This window comes from Homo sapiens, chromosome 3 (assembly GCF_000001405.40).
Source record: "Homo sapiens chromosome 3, GRCh38.p14 Primary Assembly".
NCBI classification, from domain to species: Eukaryota; Metazoa; Chordata; class Mammalia; order Primates; family Hominidae; genus Homo; species Homo sapiens.
Window position 1 is genome coordinate 9,692,951 of NC_000003.12, and position 10,176 is coordinate 9,703,126.

The 10,176-nt window shown below is 51.2% G+C and overlaps 1 protein-coding gene and 1 long non-coding RNA gene across 52 annotated transcripts in view; one reads left to right on the plus strand and one right to left on the minus strand.

Annotated features, from left to right (window-relative positions):
• The window catches only part of MTMR14 (myotubularin related protein 14), a 52,889-nt gene extending 43,446 nt beyond the window's left edge, over positions 1–9,443 (plus strand). For 27 of the 51 annotated variants that reach the window (NR_174508.1, NM_001400521.1, NM_001400526.1 and 24 more), the window contains one exon: positions 8,840–9,443. Coding sequence is in view for 39 of the 51 variants with exons in the window: in NM_001400521.1 (NP_001387450.1) it covers positions 8,840–9,023 (184 nt within the window). In the remaining 12 variants the exon portion in view is untranslated. Of the gene's footprint in view, positions 1–4,760; positions 5,261–5,385; positions 7,461–8,839 lie in introns of those variants that run through there. The other 24 variants (NR_174504.1, NR_174503.1, NR_174507.1 and 21 more) reach the window with 2 other exon arrangements.
• Positions 554–7,542, minus strand: LOC124909344 (uncharacterized). The gene is made up of 2 exons (XR_007095816.1): positions 7,456–7,542; positions 554–2,575 (listed from the first exon to the last, which is right to left on the minus strand). It is a non-coding gene; the product is annotated as an uncharacterized LOC124909344 (long non-coding RNA).

Genomic DNA, 10,176 nt, shown 5'->3' on the forward strand with positions numbered 1-10,176 from the left:
ATTAACTCTGTGTGACTTCATGACATGTCACTTGATGACTTTGGGTTTCCATTTTCTTATCTGTGTAATCAGAGGCTTAGGTAACGCCAAGGTCCTTCCTAGCTGTATACCTTCAAACCTTCTGTATCAGCCTTGTCAGATGTTTTCAAATGCAAGTAACAGAAAACACATTTCAAACTGACCGAAACAATAAAGGAAACACATTTACAGTCAGCCCTCCATATCTGTCGTTTCCACATCCATGATCAGCCAACCAGATTGAAAACATTCAAGATAACATAAACAATAGAAAGTAATACAGATGTGAACATGCAGTGTAACAACCATGTACAGAGCACTGACACTGTATCAGATAATCGAGATGATTTAAAGCATATGGGAGGATGTGCATAGGTTATATGCAAATACAAGTGACTCTTGAACAATGCAGGGATTAGGGCTGTCCCCTACACATGCAGTTGAAATCTGGGTATAACTCTGACTCCCCAAAAGCTACAGATAGCCTGCTGTTGACTAGAAGCCTTACCAATAACATAAAGTCAGTTAACACATGTTTTGTATATCTGTTATATACTGTATTTTTAGGTAAGCTAGAGAAAAATAAAATGTTAAGAAAATCATAAGGAAGGGAACCTATATTTCCTGTGTGTTCAGTAGAAGTGGATCATAATAAAGGTCTTCATGCTGAGGAAAAAATAGAGGGAGGGGCTGTCTTGCTGTGTAGGGCAGCAGAGGCAGGAGATAATCTGCATATGAGTGGACCTGTGCAGTTCATGCGTGTGTTCAAGGATCAGCTGTGCTACTACATTTTATGTAAGGGACTTGAGCATCCAAGGACTTGGTATTGGTGGGGTGGTAAGTGGGTGGCAATCCTGGAACCAATTCCCTGCAACAAAAAGGAATAATAAGGAACAACTGTATATGGAAAAGCCTAGTGGAAAATCAGTCTTCAGGTGCAGCCTGATCAAGGTTCCAGCTCTATTTCCCCGTAGTTTGTTCCCATTGCCTCCTGCATGTTAGCTTTGTTCTCTGGCCAGCTTCCCTGATGGTGGCAAAATGGCTGACAGCACCTCCCAGGATGACACGCTGCTTCCTTTCTCACATCCAGGGTCAGATGAGAGCCTCTTTTTTCAGTTATAGGTAGAAGCTGTGTGCTTTACTCCCGTTGGAGGTTACGTGGTGGTCCATGAACCAATTTCTGAGTCACCCACCCCTTATCAGGAAGAAAGATGAGTATATTATCAGCAAGGGCTTTGGTCAGACCTGGGTTTCCGTCGTAGCTTTGCAGTCCTAGCTGTCTGACTTGGAAAAATCACTTCCTTTCTGAGCTCAGTTATTTTATCCTGTTTTTAAAGGGGGAAAAATGATTCAGGCCCCCCTCCCGTAAGTTTGGGTTAAAATGAAATAATGGGTTGGGCATGGTGGCTCATGTCTGTAATCCAGCACTTTGGGAGGCCAAGGTCAGAGAATCGTTTGAACCCAGGAATTCAAGACTAGGCTGAGCACCATAGTGAGACCTTGCCAATACAAAAGATAGATTAGATAGATAGATTGGATGGATGGATGGATGGATGGATGGATTGGGATGGACTGGGATGGACTGGGATGGATGGAGTAAATACTCATAGTAGATACCTTTTCACGAATGCTCAGTAAACTGTAGCTGTGGTTAAGGACTTGGCCTTAGTCATTTGTCCGAGAGCCTGTAGGCTCTGTCATGGCACTAGGCAGCTGCGTAAAAGGCCAGGCCTCCATCCCGACCTGTGTATTCTTGCCTGGGTTGAGCCAGCTCGGTTTGTGTGAGTATTCTTGTACCCCCTTCCAGAAAGGACTAGCTAAAAGACACCTGCTCTGAGTTGGCCATCAGCAGGGCATCGGGGGAGTTGGGAGCCGGTAGGAACTGCAGCTCTGGGTGCTGTGAAGAGGGCCCTGAGCCGCATCCAACTAAGGAAGTGAAATGTTGCTGAGCTCCCACCCTCCTAGGCAGAGGTCTGAGCCGCTGGGATGTGGACAGGTGACCTCTGAAGCGTTGTTCAGCTCCGCCACCATCCAGTTTGAGGGTTGCTTGGTCCCATGTTCTCTCCAGTCCTGTAGTGGGAGAGCAGAGGGGGTGGAGCTTGGATCCCTCTGTTTGCTGCTCAGGGCAAAAGACTTTGGGCTCTTGTTGAAGCTGGTTAAGTTACCTGTGTTCTTAGACTGACTGGAAGGCTTTTCCTCCCTTCTCAGTATGTGGGCACAGGTCCTTACTCCCGGTGACATGATGCACTGTAGGTGTCCCCTGCAGCCAGCTAATCCATGGTGGTATTTGTGAACACCTTCCTGCTTAGCATGGCCCTTTGCTCTCAACCCCAGGAGCTGAATGGTCACTTTGTAGCCCTTCCTTTGACAAAGGCCTCACGTAGGAAGACTCCTTTGTAGCCAGTGTGCTCACTCTTGAAAAATCCCAGAGTCTGCAGAAGATGGCTGCTTGCTGAGAGATGCTTCTGTCCCCTGGGATCACACACCCTGCTGCTGTCTGTGCTGCCTAATCCATCCGACAGCTGCTGCAAGTGCGGTTCTTGGCCGGTGTTACCTACTGAGACATGGGGGAAGTAAAGGGAAGTGACAAGCCCAGGGGACCTGGAATCCTTGAGGGGAGCCAGTCAGTAACTCCATCCCATTGGTCATGTTTCCCTTGCCAGTGTTACTCTTTGGCTCTTGGGGAGTGGTTTTGGGGCCTGAGAAACTTCCCCATGCTCCCAGCCCCAGCTGTGCCTCAACCTAGTCAGCATCCCTTCCATTCCCTCAACATTCTGGTTTTTAGCTGTTGTTTTCCCACAAGCTGCTAGAACTGGAAAAGATTCTACCCTGCAGCTTGAACAATAGACGAGATTTGTGGAGCTAGGATGCATCTCAGGGTTGTGCCGGCTGAAGGCCTGGTGTGACCTGGAGGGGGCACAGGGCAGGCTGCTCCTGGGGAGCTGTCTCTTTGATTTACAGACTGCCTGAGCCCAAGTTTCTCCATCTAGAAACAAGGAAGCCCTGCTCTGTCGGGCCCTAGGGGCTTCCGTCAGGTGACAGACCATATCCCGTTCTCATCCCTAATGCTGCCATCACGCACCTTCTAGAGTTTAGCAGGAATGATGAATGTGACAAGTCTGTATGTTGTAGGGGGTTCCGATTTATGGCAGCCTTAACATAGAAAACCATCTGTTTTCCCTGGTCCCAAGGTGGTTCTGTTTCAGGACAAATGTGTAATCATTCTTGGTTTTAAAAATCTCTTCTCAGCCGGGCGCACTGGCTCACGCCTGTAATCCCAGCACTTTGGGAGGCTGAGGCAGGCGGATCACCAGAGATCAGGAGTTCAAGACCAGCCTGGCCAACATGGTGAAACCCTATCTCTACTAAAAATAGACACAAAAAAATTAGCCGGGCATGGTGGCGGGCGTCTGTAATCCCAGCTACTTGGGATTACAGTTGGGAGGCTGAGGAGAATTGCTTGAACCCAGGAGGCAGAGGTTGCAGTGAGCTGAGATCACGCCACTGCACTCCAGCCTGGGCGACAAGAGCAGGGAAAAACAAAAACAGAAACCTCTTCTCACACTGTCTAGCTGTGATACCTCAAGCAGGTGTCTTCACCTGTCTTACAGATGGGGATGGTTAAGGATTGCCAGAGTTGCAGTGCCTGGCTGGCTGCACTCCAGTGGCAGCTGCTTGGGGATAAGACTAGCACGGTGACCAGTCGGGCTGTCACCTCAGACTAGGAGCCCTTGACATCAGCCAGCTGGGGGAGCCAAGGGCAGTGAACATTTTTCTCCACCCCCAATCCCTGCTCTTCATTCCTGTTTCTGGATCCCTACTGGAGTACCTCCTGCTGTTTTTGGATGAAAGAATAAAGGGTCAAGCATCAAAGATGATGTCCTGGGGACTGGGACCTGGGGTAGCAGGTGGAAGGGCCTTGTTTGATGTCTCCCTATTGCCTCCCCGACCCACACTGGCTGGACTACTGCCCAGGACAGAAGAGGGGGGTTGGCTGTGAGTGGGGAGGAGGTGGAAGCGGTAGATTCCCAGCACAACCTTCTTCCTCCCACCCCCAAAACCTCCATCTGAAGAAGGCCTGAGGAAGCTGTCAGGCTGCCTGCCTGATTCATCCCTTCCCTCTGGGCATAGCCACTGAGTCTGCTGGGCTGATGCTTCTGAATACAAACTATGGCACCTGGAAGGCACTGCAGAGAAAGGGGGGACCTCAGGGCTCCCATTCCATCACTCTTGAGTCTAGGTCATACCCTCCACAATCCCCAAGAGGCCCGTACTGTCTCTTCTGATGGGACTCCTGGGTTCTGTGTTGCCCACCCTGCAAATCTGCATGCCAGCAAGTATGGGTGACCCGGCTGGCTGCTGGGTCACCTTCATTTGGGTGCTAGCCTTGCTGCCTTCCTTTGGTGCTGTTGAGATTGTCCTTGCCGTGTTCACTCCCAGCGCAGGCATGCCCTGGCCCCAGGCTGTGGCTCCGATTCACTCTTACTGCCATGCTTTGTTCTCATTTTTTGCTTCCACAGTAAGTCTGCACAAAATACTGTCCTCACAGCTGAGCTTACCTGGTGATCTATTCTTTTTTCTCGGTCACTACTTGTCCAGCTTTTTTTTTTAGACTTTTGGAGACAGTGATTGACAACAGAACCTAGCAGCCAGGGCTGCGCTAGTCCCCTAGCCCCCTCCAGAGCCTGTGTCAGGCATATGACTGACTGCATCCTCTCCCCTCTCTCTCCTCTCTGCCCCAGATCAGTGGACCATCCCCTGCCCGGATCCTCTCTCTCCACAGACTATGGCAGCTGGCAGATGGTAACGGGCTGTGGCAGTATTCAGGAGCGGGCTGTCCTGCACACAGACTCCTCTCTCCCTTTCAGCTTCCCGGATGAGCTCCCTAACAGTTGTCTGTAAGTGTCTTGCTTGAGAAGGCAGGATGCTCCCCTGCCCATGGGAAAAGCTGGTGAGCAGTCAGGAGTGCTGGGTAGGAATGAGGCTGGCGCTCAGGAGCTGGCCTGGCCTCCTGCCCTCCCCTCTCTCAGCTGCTGGACCCGAGGTATGAAGGAGGCCTGTGGCTGGTCAGGAAGTGCACTGGTTTGTGTGTTCACTCTGCAGCCTCTAAAACCCATCCACTGGTGTCTCAGGTGCACCCAAAGGGAAAGCTGCTGGACTGTAACTATAGAAGATTCTATTTCTGTATAAGCCTTTGCCTGACATGAGAATCGTTTGAAGGCAGAACAGTGGGATAGTGAAGGTAGGTGTATGGTGGAGGCCAGAGCCAGAGTGGTGCTGGGTTAGCCCGAAGCTTTGCTCCTGAGCAGAACCTAGGGTTACTTGCTGTCTCTACCCGCCTTGTCTTCTGTTTTTGCCTCTGGGCAGGAATAAGAATTGGATGGGGATTCTAGATCCCACACCTACAAAACCCTGAGTTTCCAGCCCTTAACAGTGTGTCCACCTGACTGGAGCAGCTGCCTCTGGGGAAACCACCTGCCCCTGGCCTGTTCTGCCGCTTCATGGATGTCAGGCAGGAGAAAGCCTCTGGTGGCCAGGGGAGCAAGCCCTGCTCCTCAGCTGTGGTGCCTGAGGGCCTCTCAGCAAGCCTTCCATACCATGGGCTGGATGAATGGCACATGCTGGGGCCTTACCACCAGCACCGCAATCCAGCTCATCCCCCCACCCCTGTTGGCAGGTGGGAGGCAGGGTGCCTTGGGGAGTTGGGAAGGGAAAGGGGGCCCTGGATCCTAGCTGAGGGCAGTCAGGAGCCAGTCAGACCTTGAAATTCCAGGATGGCACAGGTCCTGGCTCTGCAGCTGTGAAGTCATCAAAGAGCTTCTGAGGTCACTGTGCCTGGCACAGCCTCCTCTGCAGCCAGCCCCTAGGCTAGAAACAAGATCTTAGATGTTCGAAGGCTTAAAAAAAAAAAAATTGCAGGCCGGGCATGGTGGCTCACGCCTGTAGTCCCAGCACTTAGGGAGGCCGAGGCGGGCGGATCACCTAAGGTTGGGAGTTCGAGACCAACCTGACCAACATGGAGAAACCCCGTCTCTACTAAAAATACAAAATTAGCTGGGCGAGGTGGTGAATGCCTATTAGTAATCCCAGCTACTCGGGAGGCTGAGGCAGGAGAATCGTTTGAACCTGGGAAGCGGAGGTTGCCGTGAGTCGAGATCATGCCATTGCACTCCAGCCTGGGCAACAAGAGCGAAACTCTCTCAAAAAAAAAAAAAAAAAATTGCACCTTTCTGTAAAGACTTCCTACTCCAGCCCCATTTGCCCAAGAGCCATCTCTGAAGGAAGCACAGATATCCCTGCTTGATAGCACTCCTCACTTACCTGGGGTTAGCCACTGAAACAGGCAACTCCAGCCCCAGATCACCCACCCTAGAACCTACAATTTAGGCCCCAGGCAGCACTCTAAGCTGCTAGCCAAGCCTTTAGTTCTGGGAGGTTCTCAGAGGAGGGCTGGATTCCGTATGATCTGAAGGCCTGCAAGACTGTGGGATGTGGTCAGAGTTGATTCCTGTGAAGCCGTGCAGCATGTGGGTTCAGCACTTGGGCTTTGTTATCAGAAAAACTTAAGGCCAAATCCTAGCTGCTCTATTCACCAGCTGTATCTTCAAGTGTCAGCCTTGCCTTTTCTGAGCCTGTTAGCTCATCTCTCAAGAAGGAATGGCACTGTAGTACCTCCCTTGCCTGGTGTGTGTCCTTAAATGGGTCACATAACCTCTCCTCTTTTCTCATCTCTCAGTAGGTGGTGGTCTCTGTCCCTTTCACCTCTCAGAAATGGGCAGCCATGTCAGGGGGGTGGGGCAGGGCAGTGAGAATGCTCATGTATGGATCTTTGGATGTTCCCTGTGAGTGTAAACTCTTGGTCTGTTTCTCCCTCGTATGCTATAAGGAGAAGCTAAGGCAAGCATGCATGGCCTTTGGCCTGTGTGAAATTAGAAAGTAAAAAGATCTCAGGCCATGCTTCTTCCCCAGTTGCCAGGAGAGACTTCAGGATTGTTGATGGTAGTACAGGAATCCAGTCTCAGCTCCATGTTCTTAGTGCTGCTGCAGGAGTGATTTGACTTTTCTTTGCCCCAGAGCCTACTGCTTCCATCTCTCACATTTCACTCCCACCGATCTGCTTTCCCTAGAGTCCTGTCTATCTCCCCCCATACTTACCTCAGGACTGTCATTTATCCTCAGACATCCCTCTGCTCCCACAAGCCCTGGGTACAAGTCATTGAGCCGTTGGGATTGGGTTCACTTCAGCTGCCTCTGACAGATTTCCAGGGAGGGACTGTCCAGGGATTGGTTTCTTGAGGGCAGATTTGGAGCAAGATTAGTAGGCATGGATGGTCTTAGTATTTAGGTGTATGGGAATGTGAGGGCTCTTCTCATGTAAGTCTGTGACCCCTAGAGAGGGCCCTCCAGGGACCCATTGGGGGAACACTATGTGAGTACCTGAACTTTGAGTCCAGAGTCCATGGGCCTCTTCTATTAAAGGCCCTTGGGGATGTCACACAGCCTCATGTGGAGTCATGCTTTGATAAGCCTGAGTTGTGCGCACTTGTTTCCCTTCTTGACTTGTAATTTCAGGGTAAGGAAAGAAGAGGGGCTTTCATCTGTGATCAGAGCCTACAGAGGCCAAGAGAGGAATGGGGAATAGAATCAGAACACAGATCTTTCTGGAAAAGCCAGCACCCTTTCAGCTGTTTACCTGGAAACCACAGTGACTGAAGGTGTAGCTAAAGCCCTAGAGGTTTCCAGTGGGGAACCCTGGCTTCAACCCAGCAGACAGTGGGTTCTTCCAGGGCAATAGCTTCCTCCTAAGATGCGTCATGTCTAGGCCTCAAGGCTGGGGCCTTTTTTTTCTTTTCTTTTTTTTTTTTTTTTAGACACAGTCTCACTCTGTTGCCCAGGCTGGAGTGCAGTGGTGCAGTCTGGCTCACTGTGACCTCTGCCTCCCGGGATCAAGTGATTCTCCTGCCTTCAGCCTCCCAAGTAGCTGGGATTACAGGCATATGCCACCATGTCCAGTGAATTTTTATATTTTCAGTAGAGACAGGGTTTTGCCATGTTGGCCAAGCTAGTCTCGAACTCCTGACCTGCCTCGGCCTCCCAAAGTGCTGGGATTACAGCCAAGGCTGAGGACTTTCAACAGCTGCAGCGTGCTGCCAGATTTCAGGGGCCTCCTTACTGTTAGGTATAAGACTTCATGCCTCAGCTTGCTCTTCCTGAGGAGTGGAAGCAGAGAGCTGCTGGGGCAAATTCCCTCCTGCTTAGCTACCCTCCTTCCCAGTGATCGCAAAGATAGTTATTTTCACAACAGGTCAGGTCAGGCCAGGCACAGTTGCTCACGCCTGTAATCCCAGTACTGTGGGACGCCAAGGCAGGCGGATCAGTTGAGTCCAGGAGTTTGAGACCAGCCTGGGCAACATGGTAAAACCCTATCATGGTGGCATGTGCCTGTAGTCCCAGCTACTTGAGGGGCTGAGGTGGGAGGATGGCTTGAGGCTACAGTGAGCGCTGATTGTGTCACTGCATTCCAGCCTGGGCAATAGAGTGAGACCTTGTCTCAAGAAAAAAAAAAAAAAGGTTAGTGTCCCAGTAAAAGCTCCTGCTCTAGGTGGGAACAGTAGCCTGAGGGCTTAGAGGAATGGTTTAAGGGAAAACAGGGCCAGATATTTGGGGCCTGAACCACAAGGATAGCATGGCCGTAGGACAGACACTGGCCTTGTACAGTCAGAAGAAGCACAAGGACAGGTGGTATGGAGGGAGGGAGGATGAGGATACTGGGTCCTGTCCCAGGGTAATGTCTTTGTTCTTTCTCTTGACCTCCCCATAGGCTTGCAGCCCTGAGTGATCGAGAGACTCGGCTGCAGGAGGTGCGCTCAGCCTTCTTGGCTGCGTACAGCAGCACAGTGGGGCTTCGGGCAGTAGCCCCCAGTCCTTCCGGTGCCATCGGGGGCCTGCTGGAGCAATTTGCCCGTGGTGTTGGACTCCGGAGCATCAGCAGCAATGCCTTGTGAAGAAGCCAGCCCATGACATTTTCCTGCTCCTCTCTCAGCTGAGCCCTTAGCAGAGAATCAAAGCCATGCCTGGCCGAAGGGGTACTTCCAGGTCAGGGGAAATTTCAGTCCCCCATCTCCATCATGAACATGGCAGCCCCAAAGCTGAGCAAGGCCAAAGACAGGGTTTTCCAACCCCCAGCCTCTTGACTGGTGACCACCACCCCTTCTTGTCACTGTCTCCCACCCACCCCATCTTTGCTGGGATTCCCATCAACTCTCAGAACTGTGTGGGGTTTCCCTGGGGCCTTGTGGAAGCCATGACTTCACAAAGACCCTACCTGTCAGTTCTTGTTTCTGGGGAGGAGGGATCACCTGCACTGAGAATGAGGCAGTTTGACACAGATCACAAAATAAAATCAAAGTCTTTTTGAATAGCCACTCTTGTGTCATCATTTGGTTATTGTCTTTGTGGAGCTACTAGGAAGGTTCTCATTGTCCTTCCTTGTGCTGGACAAGGGGTTTTTATGTGGAGGGCAGGTGAAACAGGAAGAGAACTGGCGACAGGTATACCTCTCCACTCATGAGCCATGGTAGTCCCTGCAGTGGGGACAACACTCAAGACTGTTGAGAGTAGTGGTTCTCGGGCCTAAGCAGGTCCTAGTCACCTAGAGAGCCTGATGAGCTGTGCACATTCCCAGGGCTGCCTGAGCTTTAGCCTTAGGGTTGCTAAGGAAGTTGCCTGGGAATTAGGAGCTGGAGGATCTTCATTTTTTTCAGATTTTTTGAGATGGAGTCTCACTGTTACCCAAGCTGGAGTGCAATGGCACAATCTTGGCTCACTGCAACCCCTGCCTCCTGGGTTCAAGCGATCCTCCTGCCTCAGTCTCCTGAGTAGCTACGTGAACGTGCCACCATCCCCAGCTAATTTTTGTATTTAGTAGAGATGGGGTTTCACCATGTTGGCCAGGCCAGTCTCAAACTCCTGAGCTCAAGTGATCTGCCTGCCTTGGCCTCCTAAAGTGCTGGGATTACAGGCATGAGCCACCGTACCTGACCAGGATCTTCATCTTTAACAAGTTCTGTAGGCAGCAGGGTCCTGGTACGGGTGACCTGCATCCCCTACCTTGAGCCCTGCCTATGGAGGAAGGACTGGCTTCTGAAGCTTTGGAGA